Below are 25,840 nucleotides of genomic sequence, written 5' to 3'. Positions count from 1 at the left end.
GCTCTGCCCCTCTCACTTCACACAAGTTGTTTACACTGGCTCTTTCCAGTTCTACCTCACTTTCTCCTCTGCCCACTCCAGGCAGGCCTGTCCCTCCCTCACAAAAGTGCCCTGGTCAGGGTCCTTAGGGATCCACAGGTGTCCGAATTCAGTGGTCCATCCTCTACCCTCAACTCCTTGGCAGCATCTGACACTTACCTGGCTCCAGGTGCCCATGCTCTCCCAGTTTTCCTCTCACCTCCTGGCTACTCCCGCCCAGCTCCTTTGCTGGTTCTGCCTCATCTTCCAGGGCTCAGTGCTTACTGCCGCCCTCCTCTGTCTGAACTTAGCTTCTTCCCATCCCATGGCTTTAAACACCACTTGCTTTGCTTCCCAGATCCAAAGCTTCATCACTGGCCACTCTACTGAACTCAACGCATACACCCAGCAGTTGACTCGGCACCTGCACTTTGATGTCCAGTCAATGTTTTTTTTTTTTTTTTTTTTAGACGGAGTCTCACTCTGTCACCCAGGCTGGAGTGCAATGGTGTGGTCTCGGCTCACTGCAACCTCCGCCTCCCGGCTTCAAGCGATTCTCCTGCCTCAGCTTCCCGAGTAGCTGGGACTGCAGGCACGTGCCACACCTGGCTAATTTTTGTAGTTTTTAGTAGAGATGGGGTTTCACTATGTTGGCCAGGCTGGTCTCGAACTCCTGACCTTGTGATTCACGCGCCTCGGCCTCGCAAAGTACTGGGATTACAGGCGTGAGCCACCATGCCCTGCCGATGTCCAGTCAATGTTTTAAACTCTTCATGGACAAAACTTATCTCTCTCCCAAGCCTGCTCCTCCTCCAGCCTCCTGCAGTGGCACCTCTATCACTAGACAACCTTGGAGTCACCCTTGACTTACTTCTGCCTCTCCTCCCCTACTGGAACCATCCGGGAAGCCTGCCACCTCTACCTTTAGGACAAGCCTAGTGCCTCATCCTGCCTCTACCATCACCTGGGCTAAGACATGCAACATGATTATTTGGAATAACTACAGGAGCCCTTGTGTCAGTGTCACCCTTGCCCCCCATTCCCCACCCAGAGCCTAGTCTTAATGCAGCAGCCGGAATAATCTATTTAAAACTTAGACTTATGCCTGACACGGTGGCTCACACCTGTAATCCCAGCATTTTGGGAGGCCAAAATGGGAGAATTGCTTGAGACCAGGACTTTGAAACCAGCCTGGGAAACATGATGAGACCCTGTCTCTACAAAAAAATAGGATACAAATAAGCAGGCAGTGGTGACATGTGCTTATAGTCCCCAGCTACTCAGGAGGCTGAGGCAGGAGGGTCCCTTGAGTCTAGAAATTCAAGGCGGCAGTGAGCTGTGATCATGCCATTTGCACTCCAGCCTGGACCACAGAGCTAGACTCTGTCTCAAAAAAAAAAAAGTTCCTTTCTCAGGCCCACTCTGACCCCCGTCCCCCACCTCCCATTTTTCTTATCTTGTTGCTTTTACTCCCTGTAGTACTGAGCATCTTCTAACCACATGATAGAATTTAGTGGTTAGGTTTAATGCTGCTTTTTTGGATCTAATCCCCATCCTGGACAGTAAGTTCAAGGAAGGCCAGGGTCTTCACTTTGTTCACTGCTTTATTTGCAGGTGCTAGATGAGTGCCTGGCGTGTAGGAACTGTCAATAAATACTTGTTGAATGAATGAATGAATGAGTCAAGAGGCAAATGTGTGCTTGTGCACACAGGTGAGAAGGGTGTGGGCAAGGGCAGCTGCTGGGCAGGGAGACTGAGACCCATGCTTTTGCCCCCCTTCCTGCTCTTATTTTTCTATAATAAGCAGTCATAAGAAAAACAGTGAAAAGAAATATAGAAGACCTTTGTGCTGGACCTTCAGGCTGCTCTAACTTATCAATATTCCAAACAGAACAATTTTTCCAGAACTATTTATTTATTTATTATTATTATTATTCTTTGAGATGGAGTTTGGCTCTTGTTGCCCAGGCTGGAGTGCAATGGCTTGATCTTGGCTCACCTCAACCTCCACCTCCCGGGTTCAAGCGATTCTCCTGCCTCAGCCTCCCAAGTAGCTGGGATTACAGGCATGCGCCACCATGCCTGGCTAATTTTTTGTATTTTTAGTAGAGACGGGGTTTCTCCATGTTGGTCAGGCTGGTCTCGAACTCCTGACCTCAGGTGATCCGCCTGCCTCAGCCTCCGAAAGTGCCGGGATTACAGGTGTGAGCCACCACACCCGGCCTAGAACTATTTATTTATCTATTTGTTTGTTTATTTATTTTTTGAGACAGAGTCTTGCTCTGTTGCCCAGGCTGGAGTGCAGTAGCACAATTACAACTCACTGCAGCCTCAGTCACCCAGGCCCAAGTGATCCTCCTGCCTCAGCCTCCTGAATAGCTGGGACTACAGGCATGAGCCACCACACCCTGCTAATTTTTCAATTTTTTTTTCTTTTTTTAGAGACGAGGTTTCACCATGTTGCCCAGGTTGGTCTTGAAATCTTGAGTTCAAGTAGTCTGCCCACCTCGGCTTCCCAAAGTGCTGGGATTACAGGTGTGAGCCACCATGCCCGGCCCCAGAACAATTTTTTAAAAGGTAACAAAGGAAAAAAACTGGAAAAATTTTCAACACATACTCAAATGATTAATGATGCCTGAGGGCCTGCAGATCATGGAGGCCAAGTGTCTGGAATTTAACAGCCAGGGACAAGGGATACTCATTTTCAAACAGTCATGTGGACACTTGGCTCTTGAATCTAGTGTAGTGGTCACATTACCTGCCTCCTCCCTGCCGGAGCCTGCTGCCCATGGTCAGGCTGGAGGAGGCCTGACTGGGCAAGCAGAGCTGGCCTCTTGGGGCCAGGGCCCAGGGTCCTTCCCCACCCCATTTGTGTGTATGTGTATGCATGGGGGGTGCTACTGTTAGCACATCCCCTTGGTCTGAGGGGCCTGAAGCCAGACCTGGTGTCCTGCTGCTGCTCTGACCTGCAGCCTTCTTTGGATGGAGGGAGTATAAGAGAAAACCCCCAGGTCTGCCTGCAGGATGGACTTGCCCTTCATTGACCCCCACTGCCCAGGAGCCAAGGGTTCCAGGCAAGGTTATGGCCCCATCGAGACCTCTAGAGGGCAGCCCCTCTCATCAGAACACACTGCGCTGCATCTACCTCTAGGCCAGTGACCAGCTCTTTCCTGGGGCCACAGGGCTCCTGGGTGAGTCCCCAGCCTGGAGTCAGGCGCCTGGGCCTGATGGGAACAGGACTCAGGAAGCTCCCCTCGGCTGAGCTGGCACTGCCGTGGGCCTAGCAGCCACCGGCTTGAGGAAGTTCTTTCTTCAGGGTTTTCCCGAGCTGGCAGCTGCCTTGCAAATTCAAACTGGATCTTTCCTGCAGCCCTTTCCCCGGCGGCCTAGCCTGGTGCAGGGTCTCTCCTAATGAGGGTTTGGTGCCAAGGCCTGGGCAGCTCCATCCCACTGGATCCCAGCTGGTTCAGGCCTGCCCAAGGCAGTGGGCAGCTTCCCAGTCTCACCGGGGCCAGGACACCTGGGGCTGTCCTGCTTCCTTGCAGCCCCTGCCGTACCTTGGACTCCCACCTCTCTTTGCCATTTGGGGCCCCACACACAGGGACTACTAACCCACTTTATTCGTAGTGGATTTTACTGTTGATAAAAAGATCAGCCCAACAGGGCACAGGATTCCTGGACTTTTGTCCCCAGACTCAGGGCATTGACAGAGAGTTGACATGGCAGCCTGGGAGCTAGGGGAGGGCAGGGGGCCCTTCCTGGGGCTCCCTCAGGGCTCAGCTGCCCCCAGCTCAGACCCTCCCTGAAGCTGCTGGGGATGCACCTCACGTTGCCTCCTTCCGGAGGCCTCTCTCTGTCCCACTTCCTGGGGCCTCATTAATTCCTCCCCACCTCAACCCGTGAGAAAGCAGGTCTGTGCTGAGCCTGGCCCAGGCCCAGAGCTGGGTCTGAGTGTGCCACTGGTTAGTTTGGGAGGCAGGGGGTGGGGTGGGTGGGGGACTTGCCCTGTCCCCACCCTCATCCCAGACAAGGAGACGGGGGCCCTCCATCACCATCCATGTTCTGGCCCGTACCTCACTTTCCAGGAATCCAGGGACCATGGAGACCAAGAATAGAAAACACAGCTGGTCTTATGTATAATATTTATAAAAGAGGGCTGCCAGCCTCCCCACCCTATCCCAGTGTGGCCACTGGGGTCTTTGGCTCCCGGGGGCAGGCCACTCTGGGCCTCGGCCTGTTTCTTCTCCCAGCAGTGGAATGTGAGCTGTGGCCCAGGCTTGTGGCAGGGGGAGTCCCAGCCTCCCCAGGACTGGTGAAGGGACAGGACAGGGGTCTCTTGGGGGTCCCTACACCAGCCCCACCCTCAGCAGAACCTGCTGGCCCCAGCTATGGGGTATGGGAGGGTGTCATCCTGTGAAGGGAGATGGGAGAAGAGTATCCAAGGGCCCAGGAGTCTGAAAAGGGCCTAGGGAATAAAAGGGGGGAAAACAAGTGGGCTGGGGGAGATGAGGCCCCAGGGCGCAGACCGTGGCCTAGCAGCAGGGTCGGGGGATGGCTGCAGGCTGATCCCAGCTGTGTATGTTCCTACAGGCTGTGTCACCTCAGGAGGCAGCTGCTGGGCCCCAGTGTATGCATCTGTGCAAGGAGGGAATGAGGGGCTTGGGCGGGATCTAAGGCGACAGCCCTACCCTGCTCCCAGTTCAGGAAGCCTCTACAGCTCCAGAGCCTAGCAGGGTAGTGGCCCAAGGGCCTTGGTCCTGGCTCTTGAACAAAAACCTTCCACAGAGAGGACATGGGGCCTGGCTGAATGCCACAGTGTTAATCGCGTCTTTCTCCTCCCCCGACTGGCCACTGGATGGGAGCAGGGGCTGAAGAGTCTGGGCAGGGCTGCTAGGGTGAGTAGACAGAACAGGATGAGGGTCACCCTAGTGGTTTCCTCCATGCCGGCTGGTCCCTGAGGCCCAGTCAATGATGATGAAGCTCAAGCTCATGGTCATCAGCAAGAAGCCAAGCATAGCAAAACACAGGGCCTGTGGAATCAGAAGTCAGGGTCAGGTCCGAGGTCAGGGCAGTTCCCTTAGCCCCATACCAGCCCACCGGCCTCCAGGCCCCTCGCACCAGGATTTTGGGGGTGGATCTTGCAGGCTCCTTCTCCGTGGGCATGATTCGGAAGTAGAAGATGGCAGGGAAGATGAAGATGAGGAATGGGGCAGATGTGGCACCTGCAAAGAACAAGACATGGCCACTGCTGGCTCATATCCTCCTACTGACTAAGGTTCGGGGGTGGACTCTTCAATGAGATCAAACACTCCTTGTTGAGGGAGTTTCATGTTGAGACCACTGGAGAGCTCTGCCTGATTCTAGCCCACCAGCCTCTCCCCCTTGTTCTCCATCCATGAGGATAGAAGGCTGGTGATGTTGGTGTCAGAAGAATGTCAGCCAATGAAGCTAGCAATGAGGAAAGGCAAATCAAGAGATGGAGAGAGATGAGGGCTTAAGGGTATTGGGCTCCAGGCTGCAGCTATACTTGAAGGCTTCTCCGTTATTTGAGCCAGTGGATTCCTTTCTGCTTAATTCATTTCGAGTTGGATTTCGGACATAGAGAACGAAGAGTGCTGTCCGTGATATCCATGACACTCAGCCCCCAGGTCTGTTTGTCAGTCCTGGCAGAGTTTGTTAGTCCTCTGAGTTGGATCACCCCAAAGACATTTCAGAATTGTCTGCTCTACCAGCTGAGAGCCCCATCTGGAATGAGGCAGTGGATGGAGCATCAAACTTGGAGTCCAGTGATCCTGGGGCTGAATCAAGCCCAAGGCTCCTATTCACCAGCTGTGTGGCCCTGCTGCTCCTTTAATCACTCTGAACTTTAGTTTCCTGACATGTGAAATGTGGACAAGACCCAGTGAGATCCTTTGAGGCGGCCTCTGATCCCTGGGATCCACCCCTGTCCTCCAGCAAGGGGGACTGACTCAGTGGCTCTGAGCCCTGAAAAGGGATTAGAATAGCCTATGGACAAAAGCTCAGATGGAAGGCCAAACTGTGCACATGGCCACTGCACTTAATGTAGGGTGTAAGCTCAGGAATCTGCCAGGATTTGCAGAGTTGAAATCCTCTGGGGCAATACCCTGCTTCCACAGCAGGGCCAGACCCTCACCGATGACCCCAAAGATGCCCAGGATGTTGGGGGCAAAGATGACCAGCAGGTTGATACAAGTGAGCAGGCCAACGGCAATAAGCACATGCCGCAGCCAGCTGAACTCCTGGTTTGGAAACAGCATCTGCTGGATGGCGCGGCGCACCTGGGGGGCAGGTGAGAAGAATCATCAGCCTGTTGGCCCCATCAGCCCCTCCCGCCACTAGTCTAGCCACCTGCCCACCAGCTCACCGGGAACAGAACGATGGGCACTGTGAGCGTGACTGCTGTCAGCACGGCCACGCGCACACACAGGATCAGGACGTCAAACGGGTCCACCTTGCTGTAGGTGTGCAGCAGCTCCGACTCCACCCCGTCTGTGGCAGGCAGGGAGGGTGGTCAGTAGGTGGCCCCAGGAAGGAGGTGGGATCTGAGCTGCCTAGGGGACCCCAACACTGTGGGGATTGGCATGCAGACTCACCTCCACAGCGGCAAGGCACAGCCAGGCACCACACGCCTCGGTATGGAGGGCACCATGGCCACAACCAGCCCCTTCCCCCCAGCCTAGCCTAGGCCTCTGCCCACCGGTGCCACCGTACTGTAGAAGGTGAGGTAGCCGAAGAGGGCAGCCAGGAAGTACATGATGTACATGACAGCGATGGACAGGTTGGAGATGTGCTGCATCTTCTTCTTGGAGGGGCTGTGGGGAAGTGGGGGGGTGGGTGTTGGTGACAAGCTGGGTAACATTGGGAGACCCCCATGTGCCCCAAGCTCTCTCTGGCACCATACTTTCACCATTCAGCATCTGAGGGAGTCTCCTTCTTGCTCATAATCACCTCTCATGGCTGCCAAGGACATCTCAGATAAAGTGACTTGGCTCCTGTCACTCCCCTCTCCACATTCAGGACCACATCCATTCTCCCCAAACCAGCTCAGGGCATCCCCACCCCCACTCCCAGCCACAGACACCTACTCCTTGAGCTCAGTATAGATGGGCAGCACCTCGGGGTGGCAGACGAAGGCGAAGGCCATGATGGGGATGGTGTATGCTGTCTGGGGAAACACGGGGCTGTGTCAAGGCAGTCTGCCACTCTCATTGGGCCCCCGCCTTGCCCTGACCTGTCAGAACCTGTGAGTTGAGCGTGAAGTAGCTGGGAGTGCAGAAGGCTGAAGCCTCAGGCTCGACCTGCAGCTGCACCTTCTCCTTCACGATCTCCACGTGGCTGAAGTTGCCTGTGGTGTTGTTGAAGTTGGGGGGCAGTGGGCAGGGCACGTGGAACTTTTTGTAGATGACCTGGAGTGGGGAGGGATGAGGGTGTCAGAGACTCCCAGGCTGGACTGCCTGGGAAGTCACCATGAAGCCACATCTAGATCAGGACTGGTGGAGCTGCCTTCTGGCCCAGGCTTCCCAGAGACACCTGCCCCCTCCTGATGACAGGGAACTCCCCCAGGAGACCCGCTGCCCGCTTTCTCAGCCAACATGGAGGGTGACTCACTGCAATTAGGAAGAACACCATGCAGCTAAGAGAGAAGCCGCTGGAGTAGCCCAGGTAGCCTGCAAAGTGGAGGGAGCACTCTGAGACCTGGGGCCCCTCCCATGGTGTATGCCTCCAACATCCCCTCCAAGGCTCTGACCCTTCCACACTCACCAAGCTGCCGCATCAGTGCCAGGGGCAGAATGATGGTGACAGAGACAAGGATTACCAGGTAGTTCCCGTTCATGTACCAGTCCCTGCAGGGACATGAGTCGGGAGCCAGGGTCAGAATCCATTCAGCCTGGGATGGGGCCCCTGCCTCCCTCTGCTGGAGTTACCAATGGTGCCACTGAGTGACATCTGAAGAATGTTTGTCCACAGCTCTGAGTCTCACTTTCCCCATCTGCAAAATGGGCATGCCCAGCTGGGCGCGGTGGTTCACGCCTGTAATCCCAGCACTTTGGGAGGCTGAGGTGGGTGGATCATCAGGTCAGGAGTTCGAGACCAGCCTGACCAACATGGTGAAACCCCATCTCTACTAAAAATACAAAAAAATTAGCCGGGCATGGTGGCACACGCCTATAATCTCAGCTACTCAGGAGACTGAGGCAGGAGAATCACAAGAACCCGGGAGGCAGAGGTTGCAGTGAGCCAAGATTGTGCCACTGTACTCCAGCCTGGGCGACTGAGCGAGACTCCGTCTCACAAACAAAACAAAACAAAACAAAACAAAACAAAGGGCGTGCCTTCAGTACTGTCCTTCAGGGTGACATGAGAACTAAGGTTCCAGCCTGGCACACAGCTCATGCTCAGGACCCTCTCTATTGTAGGCACTGCTGTTGCTTTTCTCAGGATACACAGGTCTGGGCCCAGCCTTTGGATGGAGGTGGGTGGGAGGAGGAAGAGGGACCTGGTTCTAGAGGGAGGTGGTATTTTCCACGGGGGTTTCTGGCACTTGCAATAACCTGTGCTCCTTGCGGTTCCTTCTGGCATCTGGGCCTTGCCTCATCCGGCCCCCTCCTCTACCCACCAGGAATGGATACGGGGCACAGAGAAACAAGGGGATAAGGGCCAGGACCATCCTCAAAGGCAAGCCCTGAGGCCAACTCCTTGGGAAAGGCCCAGGGCCCCAGCGGCAGAATCCTGGCTCTCCCTCTTGCCGGAGCTACTCTCAGCCTCCCAGCCCCTCTGCTTGCTCGGGCTGGGCTGTCAAGAGCAGGGCCTGGCTGTGTCCCCTCTGTCCCACAAAACACGTTTGATGCCCAGTCAATGCTGGCTAAAGTGATAGGCAACTGGGACACCTGGGCTTAATATCTTGGTTGGGGGGGGCAACCCCATGGTCAGGAATAGCAGGCGCTTAGAGCTAAGCCTGAGCCTCCCACGCTCACAGGCTGGGTCCGGGGTGAGGAGAGGCCCAGCTTCCTCAGCTGCACCCTGCCCCTAGCCCCACAAGCCCCTTCTGGAGGGGGGTCTCCAAGGTGCTTCCCAAGTGAGTGTGAACTGAATGCTGGCTCTGCGGGCAACTCTCCCCACTCCACCAGCTTCTTGTCTGCTTTGTCTTGTCTCTCCCACCAGCCCAGCCTGGGCCCCCCCACCCTCACCCAGCCCCACCCCACCCCACCCCTCCTCACTGCACCGCACCCCTCCCCTCCCCTCCCCACGCCAGGGCTCACGAGGTTTTCTCCTCCAGGTTCAGGAAGGTCTGTATGACAAGTGGCAGCTCAGACTTGATGATGTACAGGTAGCTGGACATGGCTGTGGGGAGAGGGGCGGGCAGGCAGGCGCTGAGGTCAGCCCAACCAGCCAGCTTTCAGGGCTGTCCACCTCCCTACTGCCTGCCCCTGCCCACTGCTCTTACCTCCGATGTTCTGGAGCGTGATGGCCAGGGCTGCTGCCAGCTTTCCTGGGGTCCCAAAGGCACGGTAGCCCAGCTGCTCATAGGCACGGATGCCTGCAGGAGCAGGGTCAAGAAGTCAGGAGCTTGTCCCAGTTTACCCACCAGCTCCCGCCCATTCCAGGCTGGTGTGAGGCTCACCCACGACCCCTGAGGACTTGAGTAGCAGGTGGATGGAGTAGCTGGAGAGCAAGGCGACAGCTGTCAACAGGAACCTGGGGACACATGGGAAGATGGAAGAAAAAGAGGCCACTGGGGGGCTACCGTGGCTGGCAGAGGGTGAGGGGCTCTGGGAGGCCTGGGGGTGGAGGGTCTGTGACCTGGGTGTCTGGACTCCCAACAGGTATGGATGCCAGCTCAGCAGGCCCCAGGGGTGATGAACACCACCCCCTTTGATCCAGGGTGCGACACACCCCAGAAGGGGCCCTCTGGGTCAAGAGTGTCCCTGTGACTGCCCTCTGAGCACGTCCTCCTCTTGAGTCCTTGAAACAAACATGTTTTCCATTCTGGCTTCAGGGCAGAGCCCCCAGCCAAAGGACACGTGTGCCCACACAAGGCCTGGCCGTGGGGCTTGGCCATCACGTGTAAGGTGCCAAAAGGACAGTCTCTGGCCTGTAAGACCGGCCTGTGTTGTGACCTCAGTCGGTTTACTGGGCAGTGAGGTATATTTGTTTGGCTGTGGATGTTTTTTTCAGCCGCGGTTTGTTAGTGTAAGAAGTGCCCACCCACTGCAGCCTGGATGCTGGGACAGGGAACTGGCGGGTCCTGGGAGGTCATGATTGGTGGCTTGCTTAGGGCCCCTATCTTTAGAAGTTTCTCTGAGGGCACTCACAGGAAAAGGATAATGCCCGTATTGGCCATGGCATAGGCGAGTCCCAGGATGCCGCTGCCCATGATGGCATTGCTGAGGTTGAACACTGACATCCCGAATGATGTCTTCCCCTCGAACTGCAGGCACCAGAATGGGACGGGGAGGGTGGGAGGAGTCAGCAAGGGACAGGGGCATCGCAGCCTTCCCCTGACTGTCCCTCAGCCTCCCACTGCTGCCAGAGACCACCTCATTACTGCATCCAAGCTCCCCACAGTGTCCCCTAAAACCCGTTGCTGCCCTGCTCACGTCAGTGAAGTGTGGCTCCTTGCTGGGACTTTTCTGTAGGAAGCTCTTGCCCTCCATACAGCTCCGTGCAGGGTCCTCGACCCTGTAGGCACAGGTCAGGGTGGGTGGCTCAGCTCCAGCCCTTTGCTCTGTATCCCTGCCCTGCCCTGTCTTCAGCCACCACTGGGTCCCTCTGGTACTCACCTCTGGTTGCCTGCCATGGGGGTGATGACCGGGAGCAGCCCCTCTGAGTGTTTGCCATTGGGCACCAGCTCCACCATCTCTGTCTGCAAAGGCGCCTCCATGGCTCAGGGCACACCACCAGGAGCACTGGTCTCACACCAACAGTCAGATGTCTGCAGAGCAGCCGGTCCCTCTGGTTAGCCCCGTTACTTGGGCCTACGGCCTAGCCTCCTACCTGAGGCCTGCAGCCATAGCACACCTCCCAGATGGTCACTCGGGGCATATCCACACATGCAGCTCTGCCTACTGCCTCCCTGGGATCTGCTGTTGGGGGAATCCAGCTCAGACACCTGAGTTCCTAGGACGTTCTGATGGGACACCCTAGCCAGTACATAATGCACTTCTTACATGCACACCCGTCCAGGCAAGCCCTTAGGGTCTCGGTTTCACCATCTGTGAAGTGACGGTCATCTGGATGACCCGAGTTCAGAGCCCAGTGGCACCAGCATCCCCAGATGCTCAGTCCCAGGCCCCCAGACTTCACTCTGGGTATGTACCCAGGACAGACTTCTCCTCCTTGACATCAATAGTGGGAGATGGTTTCCTGCACTGGCCCTGTGTCCAGGGGCCTCCTGCCCAACCTAGAATGGCACTGCCCGACGGCTGGAGGCCTCGGGAGAGGGTGAGGGCTGTGGGCCCTGTTCCCAGCCGCCCGGCGGGCACTGCTGGCAGCCAGAACAAAGAGCCCTCTGTGGGCTGAGAGCTGGCGCTGGGAACGGCAGGCGCAGAGGCTGTCCCCCCTCCCCAGAGCCAGGATGCCTGAGGCGGTGCTGGGTGGCTGGACACCTGGGCCCTTCCCGCCTGGCTGCAGCAAAGGGCCCTCAGGGGGCCTTCCAGGAAACGGGTGCTCCAGGGCCAGTTCTCTGTGCCACACACACCTCACCCTCCACACAGTCCTGGCCTCAGGGCCATGTTTTTTTCCAAGCCTCTCCTCCACTGCCAGGCAGGGAACCCCCAACCCTCAGGGGCCCGCTGTCCAGGAGTGGACCCTTTGAACAGACCCCCATTTCCTAGGGCCCCAGGCCAGGAGCTCAGGCCCTTGGCCGGCTGTAGAGGAGCCTGGGTCACCAGATCAGTCTCCCTTCTCTGCTCTCAGGGCTTGGCCCTGCTGGGCCTCAAAGGAACCAGCTCTCCTTCCTCCACCACCCCTGCCCGCTGCCCAGACAACTCACTGGCCCCTCTCTCCCATCACTGGGTCCAGGAATTGCCTACCTCATAACCAGAGGTGGCTGGGCATAGTGCCCCCAGGTTCTGTAAGGACACCCTGAAGGCCAGCCTGGCCAGGAGGAGAGCTGAGGCCAGAGTGGAGACCAGTGAGGGGGGCAGCCCTGCCAGGCAGGACAGCCAGAACCTGGTCCTGAATCCGTGGTGCCCTCTCTGATGGAGAACCCTGAATTCTGCCCTGAACCCCCCATCCCCACTCCGGCCCCTGATGGTCTCAGGTCTGCCCTTGAATCTGGAGCACTGGGGAACTCAAACGTAGCACTCAGGGCTAGGGGTGAACAAGAGAGGCTGGGCTCAGGCCTCAGGCCTGGTGCCCCTGGAGGCAGCAGAGGTCACAGCAGCCTCTGGCCTCTCTGGTCAGAGGACTCCCTCCCTGCACTGCCCCAGGCAGCCCCAGGCCAGAGTTCAGATTCTGGCACCTGGATCCTGGAGACCCCACACATGGCACTCTTGCATCCCTCAAACCTGCCTCTCCTTCTGATGCAAGCATCTTACCTCCTCTCCTCCCAGACCCACCTACTCGGGACTATAACAATGTTAGCATCTCTTATTGAGCCTTCTCCCCTGACCCCAGGGTTGCCTAGGTCCACATGTCCTCATGCCCCTGCCCTAAGCCTTGCCATCAGCATCCCTCCAAGTGTCCCACCTGGGTATAGAGGTGCCAGTGCTGGCGTCCAGAGCTACTCCAGAGTCCCCCCTGCACTCAGCTGGGGGTGCCCTCTCTCGGCCCCCTGCCCTGGGCAGGCTGGGACAGGCCCTCAGAGTGTGCTGAGCTGGCAGTCTGGACAAAACACCCTTCTCTGCCCTAATATCCTTCTGTAGCAGCCAGGCACTGCCTCCAGGGAGACCACAGTCTGTGGCATGGGCCGTGGGAGGTGTCTGAGGTCTGAGCTCCAGATTCCCCATCCCCCCTGCAGTAGCTGGGCCTAGACCTTTGGGGCCTGGTAGCTATTACTCAATCATGATCAGTCATTGCTGGGTCTTGGGCAGGCCTGAGATCCCAGAAAGGATTTAGAATATCTCTCCTTAAGTGACCTCCAGCCTGGAAGAGACAAATCCCCCCAGATAGCACCCTCATCACTACTCTATAGCTCCTGCTGCAACTGAGTGTGAGCCACATAATGCTGGGTCTCAAAAAAGAGGATGGGGGTGCCGGGCGCAGTGGCTCACGCCTGTAATACCAGCACTTTGGGAGGCCGAGGAGAGCAGGATCACCTGAGGTCAGGAGTTTGAGACTAGCCTGACCAACATGGAAAAACCCCATCTCTACTAAAAATACAAAATTAGCCGGGCTGGTGGCGCATGCCTGTAATCCCAGCTACGCAGGAGGCTGAGGCAGGAGAATTGCTTGAACCCAGGAGGTGGAGGTTGCAGTGAGCTGAGATTGCGCCATTGCACTCCAGCCTGGGCAACAAGAGCCAAACTCCATCTCAAAAAAAAAGAAAAAAAAAAAAAAAAAAAAAAAAAAAGGATGGGGGCATCAAGGAAGACTTCCTGGAGGAGGTGCGAAGCCAGTACTAAAATTCCAGTAGGCACCCTGGGGTGTCAAACAGGAAAGAGTGTACCAGGCAGAGAGCACAGCATAGGCAGAGGCCCTGAGGTGCAGTACGAGGCAAGCTGTAAGCGTTGAAGGAAGGTTCTGTGGCAACAGACAAACCTGATACAGCTGTAAAGGCCAGGTCTAGGAGTCTGGACTTTGGTCCAGGGCAGGGAGGAGGGCTGGGGGCTGGGGGCCAGGGTGAGGATTAGCACTGGCCTGGCATGGAGCCCCCAGCCATTCCCTGAGGCTGCCAGCCCATTTTTGACAGCTCCTACCCCTCAGGCCTGTGGCCTCCCAGGCTCCTTTGTATCCGGGAATCGGAATCGGGGTAAACTCAGGGAAGGGCTCCTGCATAAGAAAGGCTGCCAGCAGAGCCTGATCCCCTGTGGTGAAAGCCCAGAGTAGACCCTCTAGGGCTGGGCTTGGCCCTGCCTCACTGTGTGGCCAGGGGCAGGGTACTCCCCAGCTCAGGACCTCAGTGTATCCCTGTCCTCTAGGGGTCCCGTGAGGCTTGGTCAAAGCTGGGGATGAGTGAGGAGCCTCCCCAAAGCCTTCATCCCCAGAACAGTCCATGGGTGCCCAGAGAGTGGCCAGGAGCTAGGGTGGGGAGATCACGGTGGCCTTGGGCAGGTCATCAGAATGGCATCTGTCATGGATGTAGTGTGAACCCGGGCAGTAAATCAATGGCCCAGGCCATTGCCCTGGGACCTGTTTGTTTTCCTGGGAGATAAGGGCCAGGAGGGGCCAGGAGCCACAGGGATGGCGCAGCAGGTAACGCCCGCCCACGCGAACATCACCTGGTGAGAATTCATCAGGCACACCTCGGCAGGTGTTGAGTTTGGCTAATTAAAGATTTTGAGCCCCAGGAACCCAGGCCACTTCAGGGCGGCTGATGCAAGCAGCTACAGGAAGCACAGCTCTCTGCCCAGGGATCAAGGTCCTTGGAGTCCCCAGGACTCTGAGCCTTGCTTTCCTTCCCCATGCTCAGGAACATAAGTGGGTCTGGGTCGGCAGTAGTGAGCTGGTGACAGGGAGGCCTTCGCACTCTTTTTACCTTGGTGACGACTTGCACCAGTGGAGGCACAGACCCTCTGGAGCTTATTGCTGAGGCCCAGGCTACCTGACCTCCGCCAAGATCTCAGGAGAGAGACAGCTGGCCTGGCTTGAGGGTCCATCGTGATTATCCCTGGGGGCTCAGGGGTGAGGGCTGCCCCCAGTTCCAGCTCAGCTCATTTTTACCACTCCCCTCCTTGGCTGAGACAGGGTGCCCCCCTCCTAAGTCTGGTACCCATCTGGACAGCTACCCCTCTGTCCACCTGCTCCTCCAGGCTTCAGAGGGAAGATGCCCCCTACTAGGAGAAGGTGTTAGTAAGGGGGGAAACCAGATCCAATGGAGACATTTGGACTGCATGTTCTCAAGGCACAGCCATAGGAATTGGTGGTAGCTGATTGCTGGGGTCAGGGGTCTAGGGACAAAGCAGGTGGGAGGAGGGTGTTAGAACAGGGAAAAGACACCTCTTACCCTCCTCTAGACCCATGTTTTCATGTCCTCCTCATCAACAACACAACAGTGCAAGTGGCCAGTGTGTGGCCAACACTGGGCTAATACTGAAGAAGTGACATGCAGGCGGGGGCATATCCAGGGGAAGGCAGATGGCCCAGAGAACTGAACTACCGGCCATGTTAATCCTCAGCCCCCAGCTCCCTGGCCTTGGGATCTAGGGTCTGTGGCTCTGTGTTCTGGGCATCCGGAGGTGTCTAGGAGGATCTGAGAGACCCAGCTGGGGCCGGAAGGTAGACTTTCCTGTGGCCGGGTACATTTTCTTTTTTTTTCTTGTTTTTTTTTTTTGAGACGGAGTCTTGCTCTGTCACCCAGGCTGGAGTGCAGTGGCGTGATCTCGGCTCACTGCAACCTCCGCCTCCTGGGTTCACACCTTTCTCCTGCCTCAGCTTCCCGAGTAGCTGGGACTACAGGCGCCCGCCACCACGCCCAGCTAATTTTTTGTATTTTTTAGTAGAGACGGGGTTTCACCATGTTAGCCAGGATGGTCTCGATCTCCTGACCTCGTGATCCACCCACCTTGGCCTCCCAAAGTGCTGGGATTACAGGCTTGAGCCACTGCGCCCGGCCATGGCCAGGTACGTTTTCTAACAGATGCTTGTAGCTGGGCCTAACCTTAGGCACCTCAGCCTCCCTTCCCACCCAGCCCTGGACCCTCCTTGCTCAGGCTGCCACCCATAGAGGTTGCAGTCAGAAGCTCTTGGTTCACGAGTGGGCTAGAGCAACAGCAGCCCCCACCTCACCCATTGCCAGCCTGCTGAGAAGGACGTGCAGCCGGAGGCCCAGCTGAGGCAAAGGACAGGACATCACGTGACTGTGGCCCCCCAGGGGCAGGGGAGACCCTGCGCCAGCCAGCCCATTCTCCTCCCTGCTGACCCGGAATCCCCTGGAGGCGGCCAAATATTTAGACAGCCGGACTTCTGGCCCCAAAGCAAGCTGAAGCACAGGCCTCGGGCAGTTCAGGACTCATCAGAGAGTCCGATGGGGGGCTAAAGTCAAGGTCGGCCTGGAGGAGGGGAGACATCCAACATCAGGAAGAAAAGGCAGAGGGAGGGAAGAGAGATAGACAGGGACAGAGCAGGGAGAGAAAACACAGTCATTAGCTCCATGCGTCCATGCATACTGATCCACACACAGAGACAGACAGACAGAGATGCAGCGGCCCAGGGTGACAGGGAAATGCAGATGCACACAGAGGGACACAGACAGAAAAACACACAGACAAAAACCACATGCAGATAGCGGACAGACATTTAGACAGGAGACAGACAGCGACAGAAACAACCAGGGAGGTGAGAAACAGAGTGAGCACCCAGTCAGAGACAGCCAAATGGAGGAAGAGACAGACAACAAGACAGCAAGAGACAGCTGTAAGGCCGGGCATGGTGGCTCACGCCTGTAATCCCAGCACTTTGGGAGGCCGAGGCGGGCAGATCACCTGAGCCCAGGAGTTTGAGACCAGCCTGGCCAACATGGTGAAACCCCATCTCTACTAAAAATACAAAAATTATCCAGGCATGGTGGCAGGTGCCTGTAATCCCAGCTACTCGGGAGGCTGAGGCAGGAGAACTGCTTGAACCTGGGAGGCAGAGGCTACAGTGAACCAAGATCACGCCGCTGCACTCCAGCCTGGGTAACACAGCGAGACCCTATCTCAAAAAAAAAAAAAAAAAAAGAGAGAAAGCTGAAGAAAAAGAGAGCCCCAGAAAGAGCGAGAAGGGGAGAGGGAGCCAGGGGGCCCAGCTGAGGGGGCAGTAGGCCCAATGGGCACTGCCAAGATGGCCAGGCAGAACCCTGGAGGACCCCACAAAAAGGCTGCTGCACCTCCAGGTCCCCACAGAGCAGGTTATGCCCCTACCAACCAGGTGCTATGACACCCAGAGGCTGGGGCTGAGCCCACTAGGGCCACAAGGCCAGGCCCAACTGGAAAGCTCAGATATCCCTGGTCCAGCACCCAGGACTTGTCTACCTGAGCAATGGAAAATACATGTGGAGATGATGGTCAGTCGGAGTGACCCCCATTCCCAGCAGCCATGCACGTGTGCAGACGTGCTGGCTGAGAGGCTGTGTACAGGACGTGGCCCGCAGAGCGGAAATTCAAAACCAAGCCACCCCAGGCCACTGGCCGGAAAGCCCCTCCTGCCCAGCAGCTGGTCCTTCCCTTTGGCCCCCAGAAGCCCCGCCTGGTCCTCTAGAGCCCCACCCTGTTCTCCTATGTCTGTCCTACCACCCAGAGTCAAAGGCCTACCCTTCACCCACTAGACAAGAGTGTACCCCGGGCACACAGTAGGTGCTCAGCAAATGTTAAATGAATGGAATGGCCGGGCGCGGTGGCTTAGACTTGTAATTCCAGCACTTTGGGAGGCCAAGGCAGGCAGACTGCTTGAGGTCAGGAGTCCGAGACCAGTCTGGACAACATGATGAAACCCTGTCTCTACCAAAAATACAAAAAAAATTACCCAGGCTTGATGTTGCACACTTGCGGTCCTGGCTACTCAGAAGGCTGAGGTGGGAGAATTGCTTGGGCCTGGGAGGCGGCGGTTGCAGTGAGGCGAGATTGTGCCACTGCACTCCAGCTTGGGCAACAGAGTGAGACCCCACCTCAAAAAATGAAAAAAATAAAAAAAATAAACGAATGGAATGCATTTGAGGCCCTCGGCAAGCCCTCTTACCTGCTCCAAGTGAGGCCTGGCCCCTGGCCATGTCTACACTAAAACATCCTCCCACTGGGTCCCAATTCTACTATAGCATAGACTGCACATTCCACCTCAGCTTTCTGTTCACAGAGACACCAAAACTGCACCTCCCTGGTGGCCCACCCCACACCACTCCCCTCCAAATATGTTTCCCTCTCAAACTGGATGCTTGTCCTCACACCCAGCCCAGACTTCCAGGGTGTGTCCAGTTCAGCTTAAAATCCTTCTCTGACTCAACCCAGAGACCATGAACCACCCAGCCAGTCTTGTTGTGCCTCAGTTTCTCCAACTGTCCAGGGCTTCAAGGCTACTTGCTAGGGCAGTGGCACAAGGACAGGAGCAACCAGTTGTCATGATCTGGCAACCTGGAGCCCTGGACTGGTGTGGGGACCATTTGTGACATGGGCCAAAAAAACCAGCACACAACAAGGAGTGGCTTGAGAAGCCAGCGAAGACATGGGTCCCATGGGCCCAGGCAGAACAAAATTCTGAGATACAGACTCCTACCCTCCCCAGAGATTCAGCCCCCTGCTCCCAATGTCAAGAAATCAGATTCCCATTTCTGGTTTCAGTCATTCCAGCCCTCTCAGAGACGTGCCAGGCTTGGCCTCTTCCAGTCCTGATCCCTCCCGTCAGTGATGCTTCTTGCAGGAAGGGTACCGTGGCTGTGCCGAATTTCCCCCATTCAAAATGGAACCATCTTTGGGTCTCTTTAGCTTTCTATCCCCCAGACTGAGAGCCCCGAGGGATGTGCTTCCTTTCCAGAAGGAAATGAGCCCCATCCCAGACCTTTTACAGAACAGAACAGGAAGGGGTGAAAGGTCCAAGGGCCTTTTCCAGGGGCAGCTCTGTGGCCAGAGTCGGTCATGGAAGAAAGGACAGGGTTGGCAGGCTGAAGGAAGGATGGGCATGAGTGGGGAAGTCCTCCATGGTGTTCCTCAGGGCTCAAGAGCCTTTGACTTAGCCTTTCTCAGACCTGTTTGAGAGCCCATACCTGGACTCAGGACTCAGGTCCCCGTGGGGGGAAAAGGGCGGGTCCCCGCAGGTCCCTCCCCTGGCCTCCCCCTGCCTGGGTGTAAACAAACGCACGCATTTGCTGTGGCCAATCGAAGGGGCCAACCGGGCGGGGGCGGGCTCTTGCAAACCAAGTCTTGGTTCCTTCTCTCCGCCGTGCGCTGCGCGGGCTCTAACTTACACCCTACCCAGCGCCAGGTGGGGAGGAGCTCGCACGGCGCCCCGGCCTCAGGTCAGGGAGCCACTCGCGCCCTGCGCCCGCTGTGCCCGCTGGCTCCTCTGCAAATGGCACCGGCTCTGGGACCAGCATGTACCCCGCGGCCCCTCAGGCGGCCCGGCCCGATCTGCCCTCAAGCCCTTGTCCGGAGCAGCCGAGATAAATATACCCGGATTCCCATCGTGCCAGCCGGGCTGCTCTGCCTGTCAGGCGCCCGTCGGGGCAGCGCTCCAGGGACTGCTCCAGGCCCCTCTTGGGTCCTCCCCTCGGGCCCTCTCCAGCCTGCCCCATGGGCCCTGCCTCAGGAAGCCTGTGGTGTGCCGCCCGAGCCCCCAACAAGGCGTCCTGTGGTCCCAGCCCCGGGTGCCGCCGACCTCCTGCTGTACCTCGCAGCCCCGCCGAGAGGCCCTAAGGCGACGACGTGTCCCTCCCGGTACCCCCAGGGCCCTGCTTAAGCTCGGCGCTGAGTCCCGACTGGCAGGTCCCCAAGACCAGCGCCTGGAGCGCGCGGGGCTTTGGCTCGCCGGAGGCTGGGGCGCCTGCCCGGGTCAGGACGGTAGAGGAGAGCTGCCCAGAGCCCGGCTACGGACAGGAGGGTGGACAGTAGGGCTCGGCCCACCCGATTCCCCTGTGCGGGTGGGATGAACTCCCGAAGCGGTACCTGGCCTCGCGGTTGGGAACGTGCGGCGCTCCGCTCGGGCCGGTGCGGTTCGCTCTGCTCCCGGCTGAACTCGGCTGCAACAGCGACAACAGCGACGCGGGATGAAGGGCGCCCGGCCCCGCCCCCGGCCCGCCCCCCGCCCGCCAATCCCTGGCGGCCCGCGGGAGGAGGGGCTGGTCGGGGGAATGGCGGGGGCCGGGGCAGGCCGGGAGCAAAGGGGCGGCCTGAGCGTTAGGGAGCCCCTAGGTGGGAGAGCAGAGCTGCCAGAGGGACTCCGTTGAGTCTTGTGGGGGGAATGCTTCAGTCCAAAGCAGATTCTCTCTGAGGTCTGTGGGTGTCACATTAACCCCTGAAATGCTTTGCCCACACCCCCCAAAGCCAGAAGGGGAGCTTCCGCCAAGAGGACTGGCAATGCATAGCCTCAGTGAGAGATGCTTGAATGGGGGACTTTCAGGCGACACTCAGGCAACAAAATACCTCTTCTACCTGCCTCCCCCTTCCCAACCAGGGGTGGGGTGGGGGCGAGGGTGGGAGGGCTTCTTATATCAATTCTGTCTCCACCCCAGATATTCAGAGGAGGCTGAGGCTGGAACACAGAGGGCAGGGGCAGTGAGGTCAGGCAAGGAGTAAGGCTTGGCTTGCTTGAGCCTCACCTGGGGCCCCCCGACCATGACCCCCGTCCTTATTTAGAAGGTGTAGGAGACAGCTGTCAGCCTGTCCACAAGAAGGGGGCTGGGACTTGGTGTCCTGGGGACAGACAGGGGTTTTAGGATGGCCCCGTTCTTGGCTGGGGGCTCCTTATCCCACCCCTGCCTGCTTTCCACACAGGCCCTTGGTGCTCAGAGACGGGTGGTGGGTGTTAAGGTCCCAGGTTCCACCAGTAGGAAGCTGGGGGAGATGCTGACCTTCGGGGTGAAGTGGGGGGGTTCTCAGAACAGCTGTGCCCCTTGCTTCTCAGTCACTGGCTCTGATCCGATTAATCTCATGGCCTCTGCTGTTCCTATTCAAGCTGGTCTTCTCTGTGTCATGCCTGCCCCACTTCCCAGTGCGGGGGGAATGCCCTGAGAGGACATACCCGACCCTCCCCTGCCCTGGGCTGGGAGTCAGGACTCCAGGATTTTCTCCTGCTGACTCACAGAACCACCACAGCCAAGCCCTGGCGTACCTTGGTTTCCCTCTGTGACATGGAAATGGCTGTCTTTTCTCCTGAGGGGAATGAGTGGAGGGGAAGCTGTGAGACCGGGCAGGGGACTCAGCTCTGGCTGGCAGGGCTAGAGAGAAAGGCATTGGGATGGTGGCAACCCCTGAAAACCTCAAGCCACTCGAACTTCTGCCTTGCTGGTGGCTGGAAAATGGGAAAGGGCTGCCTTTCACTCCTGGTCTGGGGCTGATATCATCCTTAGATCAGAGCTCACTTTGACTCCCACCCTCCAAATGGGCATGGTTCTGCCATGGGACAGCCATATAGAAGAGGTGCTGACGAGGGTCTCAGGCCTGCCTCCCACCCCTCAACCTCCCACTTGCAGACACCCTGGATGCTCACAGGAGCTATCTGCAAAGGGCTGGTGGCTCCCACTGGCAGTTCTTGAGGGGCCAGGGCTGGCTCAAGGTCACCTGGGATATGGGTGTTGGGGTCCTCAATCTAGACTGGAGGAAGCAGGGGCTGACTGGGCTGGGCTGCTGTGGGAGGCCCAGAGGAGGGTATGATGTGGGGTCCCTGGGTCAGACCAGTTGTGGCCAGGCTGGGGGAGGGGCTGACTGTTTGTTGTTGCTAGGCCTGGGCCCCAGCCAGGGCAAACACAGCTCGGAGGCCTTTCCCACCACCTGCCGAATCTCCCAGCCCAGCCTGTGGTGACCGGACAGCTGGACAGCTAGGATGTGGCTCTGAGAGCTGCCGGTCGCCTTCTTCCAGAGGCTAGAGGGAATGTCCATCCAAGCAACCACAGAGTTGCAGGCGGCCCCTTGGGATGGAGAATGGGGGAAGCTTTATCCCAAGCTTCAGCCCAGCCTCCGCCTCCACTGCCCCATCTCTGAAAACGTAAACCCAGGCCTGAAAGACTGCCAGACCCATGCAGCAGAGCTCAGGGCTCCAGGACCGCTCAGATCCTCCTTCCAGGGCCCCAATAGCCCTTGGCTCTCCTTCTTCCTTTCTAGTCATGAACTCTCAGCCTCTAGCTAGGCTGCCTCTTCTCACCATGCCACCACCTCTGCTAACATGCTATCCACACAGTGCCCCAAGACCATCTCCAACAGCAATGCCCCATCTTCGCCTCCAACCTAGCCCTTCCAGAGCCCAGGATCTGTGTCCCCTGACTCCTCAGACCCCCTGCAGCTCCTGCCCCCACACCTGGCTGGCCTCCCTCATATCCGCCCACCTGCTCCCAGCAAGCCTCTTCACCTCCCCCGGGCTTGGCTGGCCACGCTGCACACGTTCCTGCTGTTCACAGAACTTGCTAGCTTTCATGCTCCTGTGCCTCTGCCCTCGTGCTTCCCAGGGCTGAAGGTTCCCTACCCTGTTCCACCTCCTTGGCAGACTCCTACTTGTCCTTCATCACCCTCATAGAGCACCTCTGAGAACCCTGCCTGAGTCACTGTGAAGAGCCAGCTAGTCCGACACTTACTGCTCTTGCTGCTCTTGTCACCCCACCCACACAGCCCCAGCCCTAGTGTCTCCAAGCGCTGTCTCCAGGTGGTCTAGATGGGAAAATGCCTGCGAGGTTGGAGGGCGCAAATCAAGGAGAGCCTGATGGCAAAGCAGCCCACAGACTTGCTCTGCGAAGGGTAAGAAAGGCACAAGCAAGGGTCAGGAGGGGAAGGGCACTGTGGATGGAGAAAGGAGCTCGGCCAGAGGGAAAGGAGCCTGGACGTAGGGCTAGCCCTGGTGGGCGGAGGGTTGCGTGCAGGGCAGCACGCTCCTTCTGGGCTCATGATCAGGGGTTTGAAATCCTCAGGAGAAGGTGGTTCTCACCCCCACACCTCAGGGTCTATTACCACACCCTAGCTGCTGACTATGCCCTGCTGTTTGGTGCCTGGGAGGCTCCTCTTTGGGCATGAACAGGGCTTTAGTATCACAACACAGTGTAGAAGTATGGAGGGGACCCATAGGCAACCCTCTTATCCAGCCCTTCCCCGGCCTGGGCCCCCAGAGCTGGTGACCTCGTGGCTAAGGCCTGGCCCCCACAGCCATGACATGCCTGCTGTCTCTCTCCTGAGATCTGGCCCCCAGCTTCTCTGGCCACTGAAGCAGCTTAATGAACCCTGGTCACATGGACTATGCTACTGCCTGAGGGGAGGGCCCAAACCCCTAGTGGCCACCCGGCCAGGCCCTGACGTCAGTGGCATTAACCATCCACCAGTCTTGTCTAATCTCTGGTCGGTGGCCGGGCCAGGTTAGTCCCGCCAGAGCCAGAGCTGAAGGCTGTGGGGGCCCTCAGGGGCACCTTGAGGTTGCAGGCCAGGCAGGGATGGTGGTGGCTAGAGGTGACCACAGTAAATGCACCACCTACAAGACTGGGGTGTGGCCACTGTGCTGACTCTGGGCCAGTGCTCTCTGATCCTCTGCCCTGGACTGTGAATCAGGCATCAGGCACCCATTGATCCTGCTCCTTAGCGTGTAATTACACTGGTATGGTGAGCAGAGCTAAGCAGGTTTCAGGCTGGGAGACTCAGGGCCCCTCCACACTTGCTGGCCATGGACAGGGCAGTTTGAGGCCAGGCAGCGTCCCCAACTCACAGGATCCAGGAGTACCGACCCTGAATCCCAGACCCCAGGGTCAGAAGCATATGTGGGGCGGGACCCCCTGGAGGGCAGGGTCCAGCCCCTGCATGTTGCTGGGGCTCTTCTGTCCCTTGCCCAGGAATGCCGGGGAGCGCCTTACCTTTCTGCCAAGACAAGGTGGCTGTGCAGAAGACCCCACTAAGTCACCTCTCCTGACAGCTTCCTCCCTCTCAAGCCTAACACTTCCAGCTCCTCAGGGCCTCCTATCCCATGCCCACTACCTCCTTCTGTCACTGCCCGCATCCCACCTCACTCTAGCAAACTGTTTGGGGAGCAGGTCCTTAGTAGAGATGAACAGCCCTGGCTCAGCCAGGCCAACAGCACCCAGCAGGGGTCTTGCACCACTGGCTAGATCGCCCCCATGCCCAGGCTTCTGAGCAGCACCAATATCACTGCCCACATGTGCACTGGACTCCCAACCCCAACCAGTGTTCTTCCTGTGCTCAGGCCTGGGTGCCCTCATGCTCCCCTTTCCAGCCTCCGACAGGCTCACAGCTCCCCACCACCTGGACATTGAGGATGATGCCTACACTTAGCTTTCTGCCCAGCACTGAGTATCAGTCGGCCTCCTGGACATCTCCCCCAAGCACTACAGGTCCTGCAAATTCAGCCCATCCAACACCCCTCCACAATACTGGCTTAGTGGGGGCGTTGCCTGTGCTTGGTCAACCGCTCAGACCCCAACCCCTGTCACTGAGCCCCTTGCCTTGTAGCCCTTGGTTTTGTCAGATAACGGAGACATAACCTATGCCTCATGGGGACCCGAGCCACACTCCTCTCCTCCTCCACACTCACACTGGTTCCAGGAAAAATATGTGCCCCTATATACATGTTTTAATGAAAAAAATATATATATATTTTTTCTTTTTTTTTCTTTCTTTTTTCTTTTCTTTTTTTCTTTTTTCTTTTCTTTTTTTTTTTTTTTTGAGACGGAGTCTTGTTCTGTCGCCCAGGCTGGAGTGCAGTGGCACGATCTTGGCTCACTGCAAGCTCCGCCTCCCGGGTTCACGCCATTCTCCTGCCTCAGCCTCCCAAGTAGCTGGGACCACAGGCACCCGCCACCACGCCTGGCTAATTTTTTGTATTTTTAGTAGAGACGGGGTTTCACTGTGTTAGCCAGGATGGTCTTGATCTCCTGACCTCGTGATCCGCCCGCCTTGGCCTCCCAAAGTGCTGGGATTACAGGCGTGAGCCACCGCACCTGGCCAAATATATATATATATATTTTAGACAGTCTCCCTCTGTCGCCCAGGCTGGAGTGCAGTGGCACAATCTCACTGCAACCTCTGCCTCCTGGCTCCAGCAATTCTCCTGCCTCAGCCTCCCTAGTAGCTGGGACTACAGGCATGTGCCACCACGCCCAGCTAATTTTTGTGTTTTCAGTAGAGATGGTGTTTCACCATGTTGGCCAGGCTGGTCTCGAGACCTCAGGTGATTCTTCCCCCTCTGCCTCCCAAAGTGCTGGGATTACAGCCATGAGCCACCACGTCCAGCCTTAATGAAAACTTTTAATAATTATTTTTTCAAGAAGCAGATTTTGAAAATGGTATTGGTTATTTTTGTCTCCATTAAACCCAGGAAAATAGAATTATAAGAAATTCTGGCCGGGCACAGTGGCTCACACCTGCAATCTCAGCACTTTGGGAGGTGAGGCGGGCAGATCACCTGAGGTCGGGAGTTCAAGACTAGCCTGACTAACATGAAAAAAACCGGTCTCTACTAAAACTACAAAATTAGCCGGGCGTGGTGGTGCATGCCTGTAATCCCAGCTACTCAGGAGGCTGAGGCAGGAGAATCGCTTGAACCCAGGAGGCAGAAGTTGCTGTGCGCCAAGATCACGCCATTGCACTCCAGCCTGGCCAACAAGAGTGAAACTCCATCTCAAAAAAAAAAAATTCTGTTTAAGTTATAAATAAAATATTCAAGCTTAAAATAATGTGAGTTTTAACATACCTACTTTTACAAGTTTTTTCAACTATTTAATGTTCTGGAAAAAAATTAACCATTAAAAATACATAAAATGAGTTTAAAAGGCAACCCACGGAGTGGGAAAAAAATTTGCAAATCCTATCTCTGATAAGGAATTATTCTCCAGAATATATAGAGAACTTCTAAGACTCAACAACAACATTAAAATAACTCAATTCAAAAATGGGCAAAGGACTTGGACAGGCATTTCTCCAAAGAAGATATACAGATGGCCAATAAGCACAGGAAAAGATTCTCAACATCACTAAGCAGTAGGAAAATGCAAATCAAAACTACCAAGAGATACTACTATTAAAAAAGA

At 56.8% G+C, this 25,840-nt stretch overlaps 1 protein-coding gene across 3 annotated transcripts, besides 6 other annotated features; it reads right to left on the bottom strand.

Moving 5' to 3' along the window:
- On the bottom strand, positions 3,635-19,850 carry SLC38A3 (solute carrier family 38 member 3). 3 transcript variants are annotated; one of them, XM_006712954.4, is made up of 16 exons: positions 17,644-19,850; positions 10,821-10,972; positions 10,638-10,719; positions 10,353-10,468; positions 9,662-9,735; positions 9,485-9,577; positions 9,300-9,381; positions 7,801-7,883; positions 7,648-7,706; positions 7,281-7,445; positions 7,125-7,204; positions 6,751-6,851; positions 6,404-6,528; positions 6,173-6,317; positions 5,137-5,240; positions 3,635-5,048 (listed from the first exon to the last, which is right to left on the bottom strand). In XM_006712954.4, the coding sequence occupies exons 2-16, from the start codon at positions 10,919-10,921 to the stop codon at positions 4,944-4,946; spliced, it is 1,515 nt and encodes a 504-aa protein (XP_006713017.1). In that variant the 5' UTR covers positions 10,922-10,972; positions 17,644-19,850; the 3' UTR covers positions 3,635-4,943. The 3 variants fall into 3 exon arrangements, 2 of the variants coding, with proteins under 2 accessions (XP_006713017.1, NP_006832.1); NM_006841.6 differs by having other exon boundaries at positions 19,773-19,850; XR_001739987.3 differs by lacking the exons at positions 3,635-5,048; positions 5,137-5,240; positions 6,173-6,317 and having other exon boundaries at positions 6,453-6,528; positions 6,633-6,851; positions 19,773-19,850.
- Positions 4,078-4,578: an enhancer, noted in NCBI's record as "H3K4me1 hESC enhancer chr3:50257975-50258475 (GRCh37/hg19 assembly coordinates)". NCBI's record gives its function as "activates a minimal SCP1, AML or CMV promoter by ChIP-STARR-seq in primed H9 embryonic stem cells {active_cell/tissue: H9 hESC(primed)}" and the evidence as "EXISTENCE:reporter gene assay evidence [ECO:0000049][PMID:30033119]".
- Positions 4,579-5,079: an enhancer, noted in NCBI's record as "H3K4me1 hESC enhancer chr3:50257474-50257974 (GRCh37/hg19 assembly coordinates)". NCBI's record gives its function as "activates a minimal SCP1, AML or CMV promoter by ChIP-STARR-seq in primed H9 embryonic stem cells {active_cell/tissue: H9 hESC(primed)}" and the evidence as "EXISTENCE:reporter gene assay evidence [ECO:0000049][PMID:30033119]".
- Positions 5,449-5,618: an enhancer, noted in NCBI's record as "experimental_70487 CRE fragment used in MPRA reporter constructs". NCBI's record gives its function as "activates a minimal promoter by MPRAs in K562 erythroleukemia cells, with activity observed for both the introgressed and non-introgressed 3:50257020 variant alleles {active_cell/tissue: K562}" and the evidence as "EXISTENCE:reporter gene assay evidence [ECO:0000049][PMID:34662402]".
- Positions 11,715-12,524: an enhancer, noted in NCBI's record as "H3K4me1 hESC enhancer chr3:50250030-50250839 (GRCh37/hg19 assembly coordinates)". NCBI's record gives its function as "activates a minimal SCP1, AML or CMV promoter by ChIP-STARR-seq in primed H9 embryonic stem cells {active_cell/tissue: H9 hESC(primed)}" and the evidence as "EXISTENCE:reporter gene assay evidence [ECO:0000049][PMID:30033119]".
- Positions 15,405-15,933: an enhancer, noted in NCBI's record as "H3K4me1 hESC enhancer chr3:50246621-50247149 (GRCh37/hg19 assembly coordinates)". NCBI's record gives its function as "activates a minimal SCP1, AML or CMV promoter by ChIP-STARR-seq in primed H9 embryonic stem cells {active_cell/tissue: H9 hESC(primed)}" and the evidence as "EXISTENCE:reporter gene assay evidence [ECO:0000049][PMID:30033119]".
- Positions 18,889-18,968: a silencer, noted in NCBI's record as "silent region_14384". NCBI's record gives its function as "represses an Ori minimal core promoter by ATAC-STARR-seq in GM12878 lymphoblastoid cells {active_cell/tissue: GM12878}" and the evidence as "EXISTENCE:reporter gene assay evidence [ECO:0000049][PMID:35858748]".

The sequence above is a fragment of the Homo sapiens genome, chromosome 3 (genome assembly GCF_000001405.40).
Source record: "Homo sapiens chromosome 3, GRCh38.p14 Primary Assembly".
In the NCBI taxonomy this organism is placed as follows: domain Eukaryota; kingdom Metazoa; phylum Chordata; class Mammalia; order Primates; family Hominidae; genus Homo; species Homo sapiens.
Note: the sequence above shows the minus strand (reverse complement) of the source record. Positions and strands in the feature narration are given on the sequence as shown.

What these genes read in the sequence shown, in the direction of transcription:
- SLC38A3 (XM_006712954.4), bottom strand. Translation starts at nt 10,921, where the DNA reads ATGGAGGCGCCTTTGCAGACAGAGATGGTGGAGCTGGTGCCCAATGGC. An exon ending in AACCTGGAGGAGAAAACCTC is followed by an intron (nt 7,884 to 9,299) that starts GTGAGCCCTGGC and finishes ATGTCCCTGCAG; the next exon opens with GGACTGGTACATGAACGGGA. An exon ending in CGGCTACCTCACCTTCTACA is followed by an intron (nt 6,529 to 6,750) that starts GTACGGTGGCAC and finishes TGCCTGCCACAG; the next exon opens with ACGGGGTGGAGTCGGAGCTG.